Genomic DNA, 22,091 nt, shown 5'->3' with positions numbered 1-22,091 from the left:
GATGTGAATGTTGCCCACGGCCTTCAGCTGGTGGATGATATCTGGGCCTGAGATGACAGTATCAGGTATTTCTGAAGACATCCTAGGGAAATGTGGGGATTGCCATGGTGCCTCTGAGCTTACCTCTAGAGCACACACTTTGATAAGTGCTTTTGCTTCTTTCTCTGAATTCTAAATCAGCCCTAGAATGCTGGATGATAATTCTGAAACAAGCCCTACCCAGTCGATTTTCCTGAAGTTTCATGAGGATTCTGAAGAGTGGTGACAGTTGTGGGACTAAAATAAGGGAGGAAGGCCGAGGTGAGGAGAACACTCAGAGACGGTGGGTGGACAGACATCATCCAGAGACTTGCAGAAAATAGGACCAAAGCCATGGCCCCCGACAGGAGTGGCAATCCTAAGTGCAGTTTTAGTTGCACTTTTGAGATAATGAAAGTACAAAATCAGTCACTTAACCTCTTTTGACATCAGTTTATTAATCTGCAAAACATTGACATGCTACCTCACAGCATTCTTCACATATAATAAGAAACAGCGTGTTAAAATACTAAACAAAGTTTAAGAAGTGATGCAAATATACTGTTAGGGTAGATTGTAGATCATAGTTCTATCACTTATCTCTTATTTTCTGAGAAGCTCTTAGGAACATTGATTTAATTATTTCTTTTCCCTCTTTATTTATGAGCGTTCATGTCTTATTCAAGATTTAAAATGTCACTTGGAAATTAACAAGGGGTTTCACAAATATAGTCGTATTCCTTATTTGTTCACAATATTTTGTCCCAAAATGTTTCTTTTAAAGAAATAAAAGAACTACTTCTAAAATTGTGGTAGAGTCAAGGCCGACTATAAACAAATGCTCACCAGCCAACAGAAGAAATCTATCCTGCAATATGAGTGACTTTCCCAGTGTACCATGATAGTTCCTTAAAGCTGTTATGAATTATTCCATAAGCCTGTATTTAGAGACTTTTTTTTTTGAATATCTTTTTAATGACTTAAACACCAGCGCAGAGACTTGCGATGTAAACAGCCTCATTTCTCTGCTCTGTGCTTTGGGAGGGACAGGGACGCCATTTCCCTCCTTGGCTGAGATAAAACCTGTCTTGTAAATTAATAAATAATTTCCTAACTAACACAGCAAAAAAAAAAAAGAAAAAAAAATCCAAACGAGACCTAGTTTCCATCCAGGGACAGGATGTTTCTGGACACCCCCGGTTGCTACTCCTCCTAAGGGCCTGGCTGTGGCTACTGCAGGGAGGATGTAGTGAGAATGGCTTCCCTTCTGCTGTTTGCTGCTGTCTACACCGGCCAAGAACCTGCTCCCGTCTGCCCGGGCTGATGGAGTCTCACTCTTGAGAAAAATCTTGCTGGGGCAGGTCCTCTGGCAGCCCCAGCACCTTACCCTGAGTCATGGGAACTTGAGACTTTGTCCAAACCTTGGCTGGAAGGCTGGTCTTGGCACTCAACGTCTTAGCTAGTGGATTTTTCACATTAAGACTGTACCTGGGCCTTTTTCATGATGACTTGGGTCCCAATCCTCGGAGCAGCTGAAAAAAGAGCTAGGGCCACCTGTGGATGCACCCACAATGAAATCAGAGGCCACGTGATGTTTGCAAGGTGGAGTGGCCTGTAGTTTTAACTCGGGCACTATGGCAATGCAGACCCAAACCAATTGTGCCAGTTCTTGCTGGGTGGCAAAGTGTTGTCAGGCTTTGTGGTCACTCCTGATTTCTGTTTGGAAGCACAGTTCTCTTTCCAATGAGAATGGAAAATTGGAAGGGCCTGTAAAATTGGAAAGCCTATAAAAGGCCGTAGAGTGGAGATGTATAAAAATGTACGGTCACCCGTTTTAGGGGTCGACACCATGGACTTTTATCTCGCTCACCAACTTCCTCACACATACAGCTCACTCCCTGTGGCCTCAGCCATCTCAGGCACTACAAAATCCTCACTGCTTGAAATTCACTTATGGAGTCCAACAAACAACTTTCTTTAAAAAAAAAAAAAGGCAGTAAATCTCAGAATTTCTGTGCAATGCTTGCAACCTTCCCACTTATTAAATAAACAGAACACCAAACTAACCAAAAGCTATGCAAGTGGCAGGCTGCCCTGAGCAGAGCCCTGCCTGTCTGCCAGGGACTACGGTGGCACAGGAGCAGGTCGTGATCATGCTGGAAGAAATGAGAGGTGGTTTCATTCCCTGACTTTCAAACTCTCATCTCGGGAGCCCCCAGTCCTAACACTGTATTCAGCAGGGGGAGTTACCTGGCCATGTAAAAGGACAAGGGAAGGCAGACCGTCCTCAACTTCTTCCTGTGTTTCTAGCAGGGAAGGAACGCAATGGCTTCAGTCCCTCCGCCTCTAGGTAACAAGGCAAAGGCCTCCGTAACCCAGGCAGACAGGATGTGGGGAAGGTCTTGTGTCTTTTCCTAACTCAGAATTTCTGAGTCAGTGGGCTCCCGGAGAAAGACTGTCCTCTTGGCATGTGACCCTGAAGGCTTCTAGCACCAAAGGCTCGCTAACACCTCAGACCCTGTCTTCAGGTAAAGGGGATGGGAGGCAGAACCCTTCTCCTGATTGGTGCCTGAAGGAGGCAAGAACGAGCATCTGCTATACCCCAGCCTGATTTCCCCCGTCTCAGCAGGAGAGGGGAGAGGTGAGGGTGCAGATGTTCTGGGCAGGTCAGTGCAGTTCGATGAATGCCTTCAGATCTTCCGGGATGAAGCCCTTGTAAGGGATCTTGTTCTTATCCAGGGCCTGGGCTGCAAGGCACTGCAGGGTCACATAGTTGAAGGGCTGCATGGTACCCCTGGCCAGCAGCTTCTCTTCCAGCAGCTCGTAGGCCGTCTTCTTGAAGGCGTTGGTGGCGTCCATGTGGGCCCCTGCTTCAATCAGGGCATTCACGATGGCCGGGCAGTTGTTCTGGGCTGCTATGTGTAGCGGGGTGTTGTCAAAATCCCTGCTGTCCCGGTCGGCCCCGCAGTCGAACAGCACTTTGACCACGTGCAAGGAGGGGAATCTGCCCACGGAGTAGCGGCCCACGTTTGTGGTGTCCTTGTCCACAGCCATGTGCAGAGGGGTGAAGCCGTTCTTGCCCCTGGGTGCGCACTTGAGCAGGCGGTAGATGGTCTGGTGCTTCAGGTGCTCCCGGCTGGGGGTGCACTCCACTTTCTCCAGCAGGTAGAGCAGGTGGAGGATGATGGCCAGCGCCTTGTTGAACTGGGCCGAGTCTCTAGGCTCCCTGAGCAGCTGCAGGGCCCATTCTACTTCCCAGACCCCTTTGGTGAGGACCCCCATGAAGTCTGCAAAGCCGATCTGGGTGCCCAGGCTGCCTTTGGCAGCCGGGTCCTGCAGCACGTAGGAGAAGAGTTCAGCGAAGGAGAGGAAGCTGCTGGCGGTCATGGGGCTCAGAGGCTCCAGGTTGCTCTGTTGCATGTCCAGGGCGTACTTCCACAAGCGGATGTAGCACTCGATATTGCCCGAGTCGGCGTACACGGCGCCCCTGTAACGGATACAATAGGAACTGTCGGGGTGCGAGGGACTGAGGATGCGCTCCCGGATCAACAAGGCCTGCATACGCATCTCATCGGGGTCGGTGATCAGCGCCTCCAGCTCCTCGGTGGTGTTGACCTCCCTGGAATAGTCATAGGCCAGGACCAGCTGTGGGGGCTCCAGTTTGGGCAGGTACTCAACCCTCTGGTGACGCAGCTCCATGGCCCGCCTCCAGTGTTTAAGGGCCCCAAGCAGATCTCGTTTCTTATCCACATACGTAGATCCCAGCAATTCCAAGGCTTCCACAGCAGCTTCCCGGCTGGTGGGACAGCAGCTTTGGTAAGATTCCCTGTTCAGTACCTCAGGGGAGAAGATGCAGCACGGAGCCCCCTGAGGCTGCCTACACCCCTGGCTGGTGGAGGAGCCTTCTTGGGGCAGCCCAGGCTGAGCCTCTACCCCTGTGACCTGCTCCTGGCCGGGCTGCTCCTGGATGAGGTACTCCACGATGTTGGTGTGGCCCGTCACTCTGGCCGGGAGCAACGGGGTCATGCCGTAGCTATCCACGTTCCCTGCTGGCCTTGCACCCCAGCAGCAGCTGCAGGATCTCCAGGCTGCTGGTCTCGGCACAGTTGTGCAGGGCCGTGTTGCCCTTGGCGCTGCGCCAGTTCACCTGGGCGCCCTGCTCCAGCAGGTAGCGGGCGATCTCACGGTGGCCCTTGTAGCACGAGATCATGAGGCACGTGTGGCCGTGCCGGTTGGCCACCTCCAGGTTGGCCTGGTGCTCGCCGACCAGGTAGGGCACCACCTCCAGGAGGCCCTCGAAGCAGGCGGCGCGGAGGGGCGTGGAGTTGGTGCGCGTGGTGCGGTTCACCGAGGCCCCGCGGCGCAGCAGGCTCCGCACCACGTCCAGGTGGTCCGCGCCCACAGCGGCGGCGCACCCTCCACGGTCTCGCCATCGAAGTGCACCGAGCCACCGGCCTCCACGCTCGCGCCGCACCGGTCCACCAGGTACTCCACCACGTCCAGGTGGCCGTAGCAGGCGGCGATGAGCAGCGGCGTCCCCCCGCCGGCCACCTAGCCAGTCAGCTCGTCCAGTTCCTCCCGGCTCCGGCCGCTGAGCAGCTTCTGGAGCAGCTGCAGCCTGCCGTCACGGGCGGCGTTGTACACGGCGGTGCGGAGGTCTTTGGTTCGGGCCTCCGCCAGGCCGTGAGCCGGCCGCAGCGGGAGGGGGAGACAGAGGATCAGAGCCCAGACAGGCGGGAGCCAACCTTCACCGTCTCCCTCGCCGCCATCTTAGGGTGTCCTAGAGACTTTTAAATATGCAGATTATTGACCTGAGAAACCATTTCGTCTCCAAAGGAACATTTGCAGGCTGTCATGCAAATCTGCACTTGAGCAACTTTCACATTATGATCTTAGTGAATTCTTGACCAGATGGACTTGAACAGCTGCCACCCATGCTTGGGAAGTCCCTTTACTCGAGAAGAGAAAATAGCTCACTTGTTTGCAATTCTTTCCTGAAAGTACATAAGGGCAATTTTCTACATTGTGAACTAGTATCAGAGCAACATTTTCCCTGAAAGACCATAGCTTGTTATACTATTTAGGAACAAACAAACAAAAATATATACAAACATTTTTTGGGGAGTTTTATAATTTGTGCCCAGAAGGGACAAGTTTCTTTTCAGATTAAGTTTTAAAAAATGTTCCTTTATTCAAGCTGACATGGAGGTTATAACTGAGAAAAACCTCCCTCTGAAATTAGAATGCCTTACATTTGTATAACATTTTATACTTTTCAAAGTGCTTTCAGGCACATTATTTCATCTGATCTTCAAAACAGCTCAGTGAGGCAGGTAAAGTGGGTGCTTTTATTCCTTACTTTTTAGATAAGGAAATAGGTTCAGACTACAGATATTATCTGAGTATCTACTAACTTCATTGTATTGTGCTAGGTGTCATAGAGGATAAAATAACATGTATTCCTAAAAGAAGAATCTTGGTTTTAGATAAGACATAACAACACAAAGCTAAATAATACATAAATGTACAATATGGTCAAAAGATGACAAAAGACAATATATGGTCAAAGTATTAGAAGCACAAGCAAACTGTGTTCTCAGATTAAGGGAGACTTCTTAAAGCAGGTGCCACCCGAATATATATGCCTGGAAGGAGGTTTGGAATTTGTGGAATACTTACTCTTTGGCATCAAAATCACTTTCTCATATAACCTTAGAATATAAGAGATTTTGGCATTCATCTAGTTTGTTCTGATACTCGATGTTGGCACTCCCTATGGCCCCCTAAGCAAAGATGTTGGAATAGCTATGAGTCTTAACAATTCTATCTATATGCAGCTGCAATCTCCATTTCTATAATTCTATCCTTTGTTGACCAGAGTAAAACAAGACTAATCTATTTTCTCTTTCTGTGGAAAGCCTTTACTATGTCTGTAGTCAGCATGATAGCTTGATCTGCCTTTAGTCTTTTCTTCTTTTCATTTAATCTTAAAGCTTCTGGAGATAGTCATTATTTTACTGCTGAGCCCTTATTTTATTTATCCAAATTATCTATAACTTTGGCCATCCCAAATTGATACACTATTGTAGATATGCAGATTTGAATGAGGCTTTAAAAACTATTGTTATCTTTTTAATTCACTGCCAGCATGTCTGTTAATACTGCTAGTTGTGAACATTTCTCAATATAAAGTAACTTTTGTGTAAAAGTTGCATAATTAATATGCCTGGAATGAGTTATGAATGTCTTCCTAAAGAACAAAGGCCACCTTCATTGTGATGGCTTTTTTCTTTTTCTTTTGTATTTTTGTTAAGCCATTCATGATCTGTGCATGCCTGCACTGATGATACTTGCTTAAGGAACTAACACCAAAGCTCTAATATAGTAATAATCTTTGGTATTTTGTTTCTCATCTTTATTACTGGGAAAGTAAAAATTAATCACTCATGTAAATTAATAATCCAATACTGACCTCTGGTGTGTAATGATGAAATTGCTTACTGGATGAACTAGTGGATGCTTGGGAAGAGTTTTATGTTTTAATATAAGAACATCTTTCTCCAAGCAAAGAAGCTTCCTAGGCTATAATTACAAATGTGGAAATTGGGAAACGTAAAACTAACTAACTGAATGTAAAGAATGTATCTATGGTAGTTTATAGTAGTGGGTAAGTAAAAAAGGAAAAGAGAGAACAACTGACACTAGAACTGCCCCATTCAAAAACTTTTTTTACAATTCGGCCATCTTTTAAGAAACTAAACACAGTGAGTTGAGAATGAATGATGTACCCTCCCTCACTTGACTATATTTGCATTGGACTTAAAAAAAAGAGGCTGTTTTGAATTTCTGTGAGTCATCTCCTCAGGTGGTAGATATGTTTTCATTGCCTGCCACTCCCCAAAGTGCCTCTCCATTTACTTCAGACACAAGGTCCCAAAGTCATAATTTTCTAGTCTTATTTGCTCATCTTTATGATCTTGTAATTTCCTAAAGCCATACCATATGCCTGCTTTATAATTCAAAGGCCTAATATTTGTTAGGCTGGTTCTTGATTCAGGTTTCTCATTCTCCTTCCTGTTTTCAGTATGTGTCCTTCCCTCACACTCTATGCTCAAGCCAAATTATCTATCTAGCATTTTCCCCCATTGGCACCTTCTGAGCAGAGGTACTGCAGAGTGCACAGATAGGGCTAGAATGAGTCAGTTACGTTGCAGACAGAGGTGTAAGCCATGCAGGTTTAGGCCTCTACTGCCACCAGCGACCCTATTGCTGGCCTAATCCCTCCTGTAGCTGTGCTCATAGAACCTTAGAAATTCGTTACCTGTTGAGGGAGTATTGCTGGGCCAGTCGTCAATGAACGCCAATTCCAATTTAATCCTTGTGCTGCCCCTGACTTGTTATGGGACTTTCTGTAATTCAGTTCAACTCCTAGGCTATGAGATTTCTATTTTCTAGTCTGTAACAAAGGGTCACTAGATTAGACGATTTCTGACATCCTTTGTAGTACTCCAATTCTACAACTCTATACATGTGGATTCAGAAGGCTAGCTCAAACCCTGGGTTCTTCACTTCTTGCAATGCTCTCTCAATTCCCTTCTTCTCTCATCCTCTAGTTTGTCCAGATGTTACTGTACTTGTGTACTTCCTATGTATACTAAACCATTATATAGTCTACACTCTACTGTATCTATTTGTCTATCTTTTTCCTTCATTGAACTGAGATATGGTCGGCTGTTACTAGCTATCAATGGAGTGAATGAGAAAAGACTGCATATCTTGTCTTTATCCTGCAGGTCTGTCTCTGCCACATATTTCTGAGGAGATCCTGGGCCTGGGAAACTTTGGAGTCAACATTGGCCTTTTATCCTGGTTGTATAAACCAGATCACATGCAAGAATGTTGCCTCTTAAAAATTCTCAAAAGTGATGAATAGCTATAGTCCACGCTAAAGGAAAATGGAGAACACCAGGTTGTTAGTGAGAGCTGAATCACTCTGAGTTATGGAGTGAGAAGTTTTATTAGGCTGGTGCAAAAGTAATTTGTGGTTTTTGACATCAATTTTAATGGCAAAAAGTGCAATTACTTTTGCTCCAACCGATAGTTCCCAGAGTCAGGTAGACTAGGAAGTGGCATTCAGAAAGCAGAGACTGGGAAGGTGGAGAAGAGTTAGTGAAATGATTTGAGTTTGCAGACAAAGGGGTGAAGGCCCAAGGAAAGTTCCACACTCTTGGGTTGGCCATAGGAAAGCATTAAAACTCAGAATTTAATTTGACTAAATTTGTTTGCCAATTCAACTCTCAATTTCTAATTTTCAGTAAACTTTTCTATCCTCACAAATGCTTTACATGGGTAGGTTTTTGTGGAAAACAATAAAGGTGATGAACATTCTATCTGGGTCAATGGTTCTTGATCTTCAGGACACTTTAGAATCACTTGGGGAACTTTTGAAATCTGGATGCTGATGTCAGACTCCTGAGTGATTACAACAGAATCTCTGCAGGTGGCACCCAGGAATCGGTATATCTTAAAAGATCCCAGGTGAATCCAATATGCAGCTTGCTTTGGAATGAGTTATTGTGAAACAATAGACTACAGTGATCAACGTGAAATAATCTGAGATACTCCTCGGCAATCATGTCTCCTTTGTTCTTTAATCAGTTCTATTTCATCTTATTGGAAACAACTATTTTAATTTTATAAGCCTTCACTTTTCTCAAAACTTCCAACTCCAATGCCATGTATACTCTCAACTAATGACTTTCCTTCTACCTTTCGGAGATAATTGGAGCTTAACATGAAAAATTTCTTCATTTCTTGTCACCAAATCTGTAAATGTGTTTTTTCTGAATTATGTTTCACTAGTGCCTTTCTATCAATATTTGACCATCCAAAGTCATCCATCTCTAGAAAGTAACAATACAGAAATATAGGCCGTGTGTTTGTTGGAAATAAAATAACACTAACAAAGACCTCTCTGAACCAACATAGAAAAGAGAACACAGTTTATTACTACATGAACATGGTCAGATTTCTATGCACGTAGGTACTACAAAAGTGACTAAAATGTCTAGGCAGACTTTCACATAATTTATTTAGCAAAGCAGAAGTAAGAATAACTTCTCATCTCCTCAAGAGACAAAGGGCTACATCCTAAGATAGTCCTCTTGTGAAAAACTCCCAAGTAAGTTTTGGAGGCATTTGTTTACAATTCCAAGGGTCAGAAAGTCCCCATTCTTCCACTGCAAAATCAAAAGCATAAATCTGTTATTTGGACCTATTAAGATTTCAAGGAAATAATCTAAGGAAGACAGGATGGACAGATAGTAACCTCCAACCTCAAAAAAGTCATCATTTTACCCTTATGGTGTGCTTTGCTTGGTATATGCATATGTATTTCTTAGCTTTGTGAAGTGAAAGAATCTAGAAGCAATGACACCCTAGTAGAACACCTAGCCTCTAGACCTTTGTATCCAAACACTATTTCTCCATGAAAGAAACCTGTGCTCTTTGGGGAAATGATTAATTTTTAGAATAGGGAAAAATGGTTAATTCCTCCATCTACAGAGGAAGGCTGCCTCATTTGGATTGAAGCCACAGCTGAGTAAGGGCTTCAATGCATGTAGGTGACCCACGTGGGGTGTCAGAATCAAAAAAAGGTGAGGGAGCATCCAGACAGAAGTATTATCCATCACCTGGTGTCTAAACCCCTCAGGCTAGTGGGAAGATAACACCCATGTAAGGCAGTGGCACAGAATGGGATAAAAAGGATTTGCATGTAGAAGAGTCAGGTCACTGTGGGATTTTCTGGTGTAAATAGACTGAAAGGGGCATCTGTATAGGAGGGCTCCAAGGTGCCAGGTATCAAAGCCAAAGAACAGGAGAAGGAGTCCACACAGAAGTGGTGGCAGAACCCAAGCAAGATGAAAAGGGCATCACGCAGTGATGTAGCAAGGTTGGAGTGTCAGAGCCTGACTGAGCAGAGTAGGGTGAGCACCCATGTGGGTTTAACCCAGGAAGGATGAGAAGAGTGTCTGTGTGAAATGGATGATAATCTAGGGAGTAGATCAGAGCCCAGGGATGGCATCCAAGAATGACGGTGGCCAAGCATGAGGTGTTGGAGTCAGAGTAGAGTGAAGAAGGTAACTACACACAGGGGTAGCTTAATGTAGAGTGCCAGGGTCTTGAATGGGGTCTGAGGATTAGACAGTAACAGGGTGTTAGTGGGAATACAACCAATGCTGATAGTTGTGTTGTTAACATGTAGGAGAAACCTGTTTGTAAGGAATAAACCCCAAAATATTTGGTGGTAATTGGGAATCAGGTCAGTAACTTATTCTCTAATGGTTGAAGAAATTTCTTTTTGTATTTTACTTGCAAATTTTGTCTAAAGCTCAATATATAAATATATATACTTTTATGAACTGGCAAATAGCAAATTCATTCTTAGGTGTATTCTCAATAGAAATGTATACATACTGAAAAGCTTCCTGTTTGGATGTTTGAAAGGAACCACTACATTCCATAGAACATATTTACATGGGGCTTTTATTTAAAGGCAAAGGATATGGTGCAGCAAGTGAAAGAGAGTGCGGGCATGGACTGGGAGTCTGAAAGACATCCCATGTTGAAAGCTACCCAGGGCTCCAAGTATTCACAGACACAGAGTGTGCATTCTGTCTCCAGTGTCAACCACCAAGATTCTGTGCTAGGAATCATGCTTTCAGGAGGGCTTCGAGGAGAAATTCTCCACAAGCCTTTTATGTTTCCTTGTCCATGTAATCAAGCTAGGTTTGTCAAACCAATTAGGCCAGTTGTAACCCATCAGTGAAAAACTGACCCTGTAGGTTACCAGGAGGCATTTCCTGACTTTAAATCATACATGATAAATGTCATTGCAGTTATCTTCACCAAGAGTAAAAAACTCCAGATATCCAGGTTAAAAGACAAAGCTTTTTCTGTTCAGCTATAAATCTGCACATATTTTTACTAAAAAAAGAATATTTAAAGCATCGTATTCATAATAACAATAACAGAAGCCAACCCAAATATATCTATTAAGAGAAGAAATAGCAAATAAATTGTGATCTATATCTACATGGAATACTATGGAACAATGAATAAATATGCATTATTGTTACATAAAATAACATAGATCAATATGGCAAATAATGTACTGATAGTCCCTTTATATAAAGTTCAACACCCAGGCAAAACCAATCTCTTGTGTGAGAAATTAGGATATCGGTTGCCTTTGGGGTATTAAAAAAGAGGAATGGGCCAGGCACAGTAACTCATGCCTGTAATCCCAGCACTTTAGGAGGCTGAGGTGGGCAAACTGCTTGAGGCCAGGAGTTCAAGGCCAGTCTGGCCAACATGGCAAAACCCTGTCTCTACTAAAATTATAAAAATTAGCTGGGCATGGTGGTGAGTGTCTGTAATCCTAGCTACTTGGGAGGCTGAGGCATGAGAATTGCTTGAACCCAGGGTGTAAAAGTTTCAGTGAGCTGAGATCATGCCACTGCACTCCAGCCTGAGCAACAGAATGAGACTCTGTCTCAAATTAAAAAAAAGAGTAAGGATTGATAGCGAATATAAAACGAGGTGAGAGTTGCTGGTTATGTTTTATTTCCTCTCTTAGCTGATAGTTAAATGGCTGTGTCAACAATGTAAAAATTCATCAAGCTTAAAATTTGTTCTTAGATGTGCATATGCAATATTTCAATAAAAGTGATTTTAAAATATTTTATATAGGGTTGCACACATACACACACACATGTGCACACACATACTCGACATTTATACCTGCTTTTGGAGTCTTCCCAACAAATCCATTTAAATTAACACTGAGTGGGTAGTGACATTACAGCATGTGTTTCTTTATTCTCTACCTTTTAAAGTTTTCTTCTATTATTTCTGTATTTGTTTTCATTTTTCATCTTTTATCTCTTGGTGACTCATTTAGATGGATATCACAACTTATGAATTCAAATTCCATTTCACTTAATGTTTCCCTCATATTTTTCATCTTTTTATACATTTTTAAATTTATTTTATGAAAATAGCTGAGGTTGATCCTCAAATTCAATTTGAAGGCAAAGGATGTTCATGCATAAAGTACTAGGCAGTTACTTTAAAAAATGAGACAGATTTCAGTCTTGTACATGTGCTATAATGTAAAAAAATCAGATTATCTTTTTTTATTTTTTATTTTTTGAGACAGAGTCTCGCTCTGTCAGCAGGCTGGAGTGCAGCGGCGCGATCTCAGCTCACTTCAACCTCTGCCTCCAGGGTTCAAGCGATTCCCCTGCCTCAGCCTCCCAAGTAGCTGGGACTACAGGCACACACCACCATGCCCGGCTAGTTTTTTGTATTTTAGTAGAGATGGGGTTTCACCATGTTGGCCAGGGTGGTCTTGATCTCCTGACCTTGTGATCCACCTGCCTTGGCCTCCCAAAGTGCTGGGATTACAGGTGTGAGCCACTGCACCTGGCCCATATTTTTAAATTAAAAAATAGTACAATTTATGTAGTACAAGACCTTTAAAAATATCTCTCCGTGTGTATGTGGTCTGTGTGTCTTAAAAATGAGTGCAGGCAAGTGTATTTCTAGAAACATACTTTATTAGTTGGGTGCATTGGGTTGCAGGTAACAGAAAACATTCTTATAGTGACTTAAGCAATAAAGTCATCCAATTTTTCTACATAGCAAGACCCCTGGAAATGGAGACTAACAGATTTCCTGCAGCAGCTCAATGGTGTCAATCACCCAACTTCTTTCTGTTCTGCCACCACAGCACATTCCATTTTCATTCTATGTAATTCCTCACAGTTAAAAGATCACACACAACTAACACAACTTAAATAATTATGTCTTTGAACAATAAAAACCAAAGAAAGAAAAAATTTCATATATTTGGCCATCATTTTCATTAGAGGTCAAAATCCTACTAATAAGCTCCCTCCTTTGGCATTCTTCCTAAATACATTGTATTAGCTGGAAACAAGACAAATATTCATCTCTAAATCAATCACAAGCAAAGGAATTACATTAACATTTGTATTAGTTTGCTTTTGCTCCAATAATGCTTAAGAAACATGACAAGAAGTTACTGACCGATAACAGCAAGCATTTACTCCTTGCTCATGAATTTTGTGAATTGGTTGCAGCAGTTCTACCTTAGACTACAGATGAGAGTCAGGTGTGCTCCAGGTGTCTCTCATTCCTGGACCCATGTTGAAGGACACAGACTACTTAGGGCATTTGATTTTTATAATGCTTTATATATATTGATTTTTATAATGCTTTATAAGCAAGAGTTGAAGAGGAGAAGCTTCTTTAAAGTTCTGCTTAGTTACTTCTATTACTATTAACCTACCCAAATTCTGTTGGGTAGAGCAGTCACATAGCCAAGCCCAAAGTCAGTGATACAGGGAAATATTCTCTTTCCTCATTAAAAAAAGGTAAGGATGGGGAGGGAACAAGAATCATCTTTTTTAATTATTTTTTTCTGAGACAGAGTCTCGCTCTGTCATCCAGGCTGGAGTGCAGTGGCACAATCTTGGCTCACTGCATTCTTCGCCTTCTGGGTTCAAGTGATTCTCACACCTCAGGCTCCCAAGTAGCTGGGATTACAGGTGCGCACCAGCATACCCAGCTAATTTTTTGTATTTTTAGTAGAGAGGGGTTTTGCCATGTTGCCCAGGCCAGTCTCGAACTCCTGAGCTCTGGCAATCTGCCCGCCTCAGTTTCCCGAAGTGCTAGGATTACAGGCGTGAGACACTGCACCTGGCCAGAGAACAAAGAATTATGAACACACAATACAATCTACCACAATATTCATGGCCTAGACTAACCATGGCTCATCCTCCCAGATTGGGAGAGGAATCCATTGTCTGTGAACTTGTTGCAACAATACAAACATAAACAATCTATGGTCATTGTAAACAAGAAATAAGGAATTGTGGCTATTGAGTAGACAACAGTTCAATGTTGACTTCTCACTATTTAAACAAATTAGACTTTTTTTCTAATTGAGAAAACACACAAACTTGAAGAAACAACTCCAATATTGATGAAAATAGCAGTGATTTATTTATTAACTAAATATTTTAATTCAACAATTTAGAAAGAGAGTTTTTAATCTTCCACAAACAATTCTACCTTATTTTAAAAAGGCTGCAATTTATACATATGGGACATTCATGTCACAGTATATCAGACAACTCTCTGACACCTTGGGTGCCCAATTTTCTTTCAGGCAGGACATCAATATTTATCCTCTTTTAATTCTGGCCCATCCACTGGCACAGACTGGTCCCTTATGTTAATCATGAGCTAGTGATACAGGAAGAGAAGCATTGCTGATCTGTGAAACTGGACAATACATTTAATCTGTCTTGGTATTTAAACCACAGTAGGCACCATGTTTAATTGGGTTTATGAAATGATATCTTGTTCAGGGCAAGGATCAATATTGAAGAGGAGCTATATTTAATGCTAAATTAAGTGCCCAAGTTAAAGCTAAATTGTTACACACACAAGTCAGTAATTTCAGAACTATGACTTGCAAATAAATCACAAATTGACCTCTTTGAGCACACTGCAGGAAATACTTTGTGTGACATTATATGGCACTAATTGTAAAAGCCAAATCTGACTTCTTTCCAATTATATGTCCAAAAATCATAACTGTGAATTCTCTCTCTTTGGATTTTCTGACATTCTTTCCTTAGTATTAATGTAATGAATGGCTTCAAAGCTAAAGTTATGGGAAATGCAAGAGCTTATCCAATAGTTAATATCTGAATCTTAGGGTTTATCAACTGTAGCATATCTAAAGACACAAAACGCAACTTCGCTGATTTCCTGGATGCTCTAGATGTGCAAATACAAACCTCACTGCACATGGAAGTGCCCTATCAGGCATAATTTTCATAAAGGGAATTTAAATAGCTATTTTAATTTGCAGACCAGACTGTGCATTCCAGGAATCTAAGACTTATGAGCCACTTTCTCAGATAATCACTTCTAAATAAACAAGGTCTTTTGCACTGACCCAGGAATCTGCATTGTAGCTGAAAAATTAATTATACCAATATTATACTAGGCATATCTACAACAATACGAAAGAATGTTCTCTCCATCTCCAAAGTTAGATGTTCATTCAGATGAAATGCAATTTATTCATCTGGAAAGTTCTAAATGTTTTCCTTTGCACCTCTAAATGAGCAGAAAGATATTTCCTTTTAAGAAGAAAAGAGAAAATCCATTATTTTTACTTTTTCTTTAATATATATAAAAATCAATAAATTCCCAAACTAAATTTCTCCCCTACTAATTTAATTTGGAATAAAATTAGAACCAATCGTTATGAGCAAAATGTTTTCAATTAAGACATAATTAATTAAATGTGCAAATGCAGAATACATTTAGATGGGCTATCAGATGACTGATTATACTGGAAATCTAATTTTACACTTAAATTGCCAGCCACACACTTCATCTTGAGCTGTTGATCCATAGCAAGTTACCATAAGTTAAACCTTACCTCTGGAGGAAGCAGCCTCAGTGGACAAATTTTTCCTGCAGTAATTCTATGACCATGCCATAGTATCTGTCTTTAGAGGGTAGTCAGAGGTATCTTGCATGAAGGAGCTTCATTCTTGCCATCCTTCTTGTTTTTCAAACAGCATTTTTTTTTATTTTAAATAAGTGATGCATGTTTTGGCAAATTGTGAAAGAAAGGCCTCTTCTACTCTTTTCTACTTACCCTTTTCTACTCACTTACTCTTTAAAAGGAAGTTGATAATCAAAGTATTAATGTGTGAAAAGGTACTGAGCTTTGAACAATTTTTGAATTACTTAATATTGCATTTTAAACTGTCTAAATTATAGATACAAATGTCTGAATCTATACTTGCTGTTGGTGTTTATGGGTTAAGTATATCCTCAAACTAACCAGGATAATGAATTTTATTGCCTCACAGATAGAAAGGATGATTTAGCAAGGTTTGTAATTGATATGCATCCATGTTGCTCTAAAAAATGAAGAGATTCCCATCACATAGTTTAAAAAAAATGTATAGGTCCAAAAGTTGGCTACAGTCAATAATTCTTCTCTAAATCTGATGTTATTTAAGTTTCCTGAATATTTGAAAAATTTGTAAGATTTTTTCAAGGATTCTAAAAAGTGGGTGATTGAGGAGGAAAGCAAAAGTTGTCAGCGAGAAGCATTTGTTGAATGTCTACTATGTGCCAAGCAGTGCACTTGGTATTCTCATGTGTCATGTCTTTGTGTATCAATTACTAATCCACAGGTTGATGCAAAAGTCATTGCAGTTTTAACCATCATTTTCAAGGGCAAAAATCGCAATTACTTTTGCACCAAATGAATATCATTTCTCAGTCCCAAGCCAATGCTTCTATACCTGTTTTTTGCAATGTTTACTTGGACATCTACAACGGCCTTCCATGAGGCAGCCTACTGTCTCCCAGAGCATGATAAGGAAGTTCCTTGGGATAGATATCTTTCTAGCCTGAAATATAACAATTTGCATTTTAGCCCATTGAATTAGACATTTTTGTCTTCAGATAATTTCTTTGGAAATGCAAATGTTCCTCAAAGTGTAGCTACCTATTGGGTCACTGAAGCTTTAATATTAGCAGGTTTGCTGGTTCGCTTTCTTCAAGAATAGTGGATATTTTGCCACAAAGGGAGAATAGGAAGCCAGAGTGGACAGAGGGGAACAAAAACAGGGATAAATACAAGGGAAGGAGATAGCTGGTATTAGCATTTACTACCCCATCATTATATGTACCTTGATTTGTTCCTAGAGTTGCTGAAGGATGGCTCAGTTTCCCTTTTCTTGGAACCAGCCCTTCCCAAAGAATTCAGTGAATGAGCCAAGATTCTCCAGAAACCGCTCAGCTTTGCAGTGATAATTTTCTGTGAAGACATAGACTGAAATGGGAATAAGAGATAGAAAGTTGAAAAAGATTTTTCTCAGAATCCACATGTAACCTTACAGAAGGCAAATAGAAGGGTTAGTGAGATACATGGAATCATGCAGCTGAGGTGAGACAATGTAGGAAAATCAAGCATGAGATAGGAAATCAGGATATTGTGTTTCTTTGTGAAGACTCGGTTCCCTCTAATTGCTCGTAAACCTAAAATCCCTACTTCATTCTTTGTAACATTTTTCCTTATTTCTTTCTGGAATTTTTGGATTCCATGCTTTTTAAGATGGCTTGAGAGAAAGACTTATCAAAGTCAACCTAACAGGCATTTATTAAGACACTACCAGGGGTGAGACCTTGCGTAAACGATTGTCAAATTTGAATATGTGGTTAGAAACACCTGAAGGACTGCTGGGCCCCACACCCAGAGTTTCTGATTCATTGAATTTGAGCTGGGACCTGAGAATTTACATTTCTAGCAAATTCCCAGATGATATTGATATTGCTGTCTGGAGGCCACACTTTGAAGACCACTGCCTCTACGAATGGGAAAAGAAATTAGATATCAGCAATCTGTCCTTAATGAGATTGCTTAAGGCTTTGTATTAGGGATGTACTTTGTCATGGAACATGTCATATAAATGACAAACTGAGAACACTGGCAACATATTTTAAAAGTAAAATATAGTACAATACATGCCAGAAGTTCTGAAAAGGATAAATAATTAAGTAGTGGCGAGGCGGAAGAGGCTAATTAGAGATGACAAAGAATAATACAAAAACCATGGGCCACAGAGCCAGGGGTGGCCTGGAGCTGAGCTGAGCTTATTAGGGGACAACTGCATAGGTGGACCTAAGGGCAAAACTGAAGGTTTTAAATGCTATGAAGTGTAGGGCCATGCTGCTGGTGCTAATTAAGCACTGAGAACTACCTTTCTATACAAGGCTGAGATCTGTACATGAGAGCTGAAACAGCCTCTTGCTTCTTGATCATGAACATCTTCAGTTAGATCCAGAAAGGGTCTAGTGAGGGTAGGTGGGTTACTCAAAATTCCTAGTGTTTAATTAGTTTTAGTTAGTTGAGACTGATTGTGATGAAACACAACATTTAACTTTGCTATCTCCTAGGCAAGTGCTTCCAGAAATAAAAAGTCTCATTTTTACAGAAAAGAGAACATGGAAAGGCCGTCCAGAATTCAGTCTCAAAGGCAATGCTGGGCAGGGACTGACAAAGGGTTGAGGAGTGTCCATTAACCTGGGTATTGGTGATGGAAAGCATATCCTGAAATTAGAGATAGCAAGACTCTTGGTGAACTGTTGAGCAGACTGGGTTGAATTCAGTGAAGGATCTAAAGGAAAAATAAAAAATATTAATGCTTCTATGTAGTATTAAAAGTTGTGACCATAAGATAGCAAGTATAATCACACACCAAAAAATGACTTTTCTGTCCCAAGTGAGTGGTGGGCTTCAATGTAGTCACCCAGAAAACATTAAATATTTGTCATATGTTCAAGATACATTTTGAAACATCTAAGGAAATAGAAATTATCACTTTGTTACATGTGCATGTAGGTGCACACACACAGTATTACTCAGTGAATTTTTTCAGCTTTATTCTATATAATTATATATTTTTTCCAGCCTTATTCTGCCTGACTATCCAGATTTTACACTGTTTAGATCTGGCTGTTTCCAAATTGCACAAACTGTCTTGAACTGAAATGGACAGAAGGCAGGCAAATACTGGTAGAAGAGGGCAGGATCTTTGGCAAGGGCTCCACCCACATGCCTGGACCCGCAGCCCAAAGTGAGAACTATCCCTGTTTTCCCACCTGATTGTTGCCTTTTGGCCCACCCCACACCACCCCCTATCCTGTGCCCATAAGAATCCCAAGCCCTAGACTCAGTGGACACACACACAGAAGAGAGAAGTGTCTGGATATTGAGATGAGAAGAAGCAGCTGGAGGTCAGGGACTATGGTCAGAGAAGAGTTCAGCTGGAGACACCCAGGCTCCAGGGGAAGATTATCTTCCTGCTCCATCCCCTTTCCAGCTCCCTTTCCCACTGAGGCCCACTTTTACCACTCAATAAAGTCCTCCACATTCACCACCTTCAATTTGTTCATGTGACCTGATTCTTCCTGGACGCTGGATCAGAACTCAGTTACCAAGACAGCAAAGTGTAAAAGGCTGTCACCCTGACCATCCACTGAGTTGGTTAACACTTAGCCATCCACAGACAGCAAATGTTAAAGGAGCACTGATTGTAACACATGCCCTCTGGGGCTCTGGGGGTCGCAGACAGCCCCTCCCAGACCGCAGAGCTAAAAGACCATTGTAACACACTTTGACACTGCTGCAGAACCCACACAAAGCTTGCTCCCGCCGGAGAGGAGCCACAGGCCAGTTCCACATTCATTTGCTCTGGTTCCCACACCCATCCACTCATGTGCTTCCTTCCATAAGGGATTCAGCATGGTAAACAAGTAAACAAGTCACTCATGTCACAAGTCCCGCAAAGGGGTCAAGGGAACACTCCTGTTTCAGAACCATTGAAGAAATTCAAAGAATCTGTGATAAGCTTCTTACCAGTGCCCTGGGATCTTGTGATTTCCCAGGATAGAAATCAAGAGAGTTCACCAGAGGCAGCAATGAAGAGAGTTTATTACCTCTCAGGGAGCCAGCCATGAGAAAGCAAAAAGGAGTGGGCTGTTCCCTGAAGATACTGTGTGGTTCGGTTAGGTATAGGGTCTTTCCATAGGGAAGGGTTCCCTCAGGGAATGTATAGGGGGAGTTTTGCTAGCACCTGCAAAATGGCTCAACATGTTTCTTCATACATTGCATGTAGCATTAGCGTTTTAAATCTCCACCCCTGGGCATGAACTTTAGTGTTAAAATGAGGAAAAGATAACTTTAGGTTGGAGTTTAAATCTGACTCCACATATGGGACTCTGGGAAAGCCTCTAGCCCCCTGAAATAGAAATTTGCAATTAATAGCTTCCTTGGTCTTTTATTGCTGATTGGCTGAGAGTTAGACAAGCTAGAGCTTGAGTTGAGGGGCTTTTATCCTTTTCCTTCAGACAATCTTAAGATAGGGAACCAACCAGTCGGCCTGTCTCAGGCTCTAAGGAAAATTCTGAGAGGTCAGCAAGAAACCTAATATTATAAACAACAGTGCCATCAGCACTTATTTGAATGTATAAATATAAATTTTAAAGGCCCTATTAAAGTCATTCTGAGCCTGTACATTTAAACCATTCTAAATGTTTACAGGTATTTAGATACGAGACGAAATTAGACCCAAATTATGCATCAATATCCAATACGTGTGCACTGTGTATTCAAGATCAATATAATCTCCCACAGACTGTCCTGCTGAGTTAGCTAATATACAAAGACTTAGTTTGTTTTCTATATGTTAGAACATGAAAGAAAAGATAAGTAGCTCACTGCCATCCCAAAATCCCAACAAATTATGGAACTGCCTCCATTGTGAAGCTGGCTAGTTTTCTTTTTTCTTTTTTTTTTTTTTTTTAACGGAGTTTCACTCTTGTCGCCCAGGCTGGAGTACAGTTGAGCAATCTCGGCTCACTGCAACCTCTGCCTTCTGGGTTCAAGCGAGTCTCCTGCCTCAGCCTCCCAAGTAGCTGGGATTACAGGCATCTGCCACCACACCCGGCTAATTTTTTATATTTTTAATAGAGATGGGGTTTCACCATGTTGGGCAAGCTGGTCTCGAACTCCTGACCTCAGGTGATCTGCCCACCTTGGTGCTAGTTGTTTTTTAAAAGCCATCTTTCTAATGAAATGTAACACTGATGATTGCCTTACACATAGATGACATTAGGCCTCACATAGTAATCTCGGTGCTAACTACATGTCTTATGCTTCCTAAAATTTTACATTTTCTCTGTGGTTAAAGTCATCTTACAAAAAGACCCACATTTTACAAAGATTTAATTGTCTTGGATTTCAAATCACAACTGGTTTGATAGCCAAAAGGTTAAAAACAAATTGATTTTATGAAAAATTCTTATAGTATTAAATTTGGCATGGATTACCATTAATAATAGAATCCTCTACTGGCTGTGAGACATGCAAAATTGCAAAGCCCAGATCCACAGATTAGAAAGGATTTTGACATGTATAATTGTCTTAGTCAGTTTGGGCTGCTATAACAAGATACCACAGACTGAGTGATTTAAACAACAGAGATTGATTTCTGGAGTTCTGGAGCCTAGGATAGTCCAGGGTCAGGGTGTCAGCAGACTCTGTGACTGGTGAAGACCCCCTTCCTGGTTTGCAGATGCTGTCTTCTTGTATCCTTAGATGGTGGAGAGAGAGATCATCTTTTCTTATAAGGGCAGGAATCACACCTATGAGGGCTCCACACTCATGACCTAATCACCTCCCCAAGGCCCCACCTCCAAATATCATCAACTTGGGGGTTAGGCTTCAATATATGAATTTTGGGGGGACACAGATATTCATTCGCAGTAATAGTGAGCACTGTTGACAGCACACACAGATACCCCGCATTCTTGTGCTCTTTCTGTAAGCCTCTTCCAGCTGCTTTGTGCTTTGCTTCCGAAGGCCTGCAACTGAGGCTTTTTTTTTTTTTTTGAGACTGGGTCTTCCTCTGTCACCCAGGCTGGAATGCAGTGGCATGATCTCAGCTTACTGCAACCTCTGCCTCCTGGGTTCAAGCAATCCTCCTGCTTCAGCCTCCTGAGTAGCTGGGATTACAGGCACCTGCCACCAAACCTGGCTAATTTTTGTATTTTTAGTAGAGATGAGGTTTCACTATATTGGCCAGGCTGGTCTCAAACTCCTGAACTCTTGATCCGCCTGCCTCAGCCTTCCAAAGTGCCGGGATAACAGGCATGAGCCACCACACCCGGCCGCAACTGGGACTGTCTTTAAGGATCTCTGCATGGAGCTGGCACAAAGAGCTTTACAAATTTATAAAATTTTCTTAATTAATTTTTTTTTGTAGAAATGGGATCTTGCTATGTTACCCAGGCTGGTCTCAAACTCTTGGGCTCAAGCAGTTCTCCTACCTCTGCCTCCCAAAGTGCTGGGATTATAAGTATGAGCCATCGCACCCTGCCAAAAT

The 22,091-nt window shown here is 41.9% G+C and overlaps 1 pseudogene; it reads right to left on the bottom strand.

Moving 5' to 3' along the window:
* Positions 1-1,979: 1,979 nt before the first annotated feature.
* On the bottom strand, positions 1,980-4,800 carry FEM1AP4 (fem-1 homolog A pseudogene 4; annotated as a pseudogene).

This window comes from Homo sapiens, chromosome 13, assembly GCF_000001405.40.
Source record: "Homo sapiens chromosome 13, GRCh38.p14 Primary Assembly".
Lineage (NCBI taxonomy): Eukaryota > Metazoa > Chordata > Mammalia > Primates > Hominidae > Homo > Homo sapiens.
The sequence above is the reverse complement of the archived record's forward strand: the minus strand, read 5'-3'. Positions and strand labels throughout refer to the sequence as shown.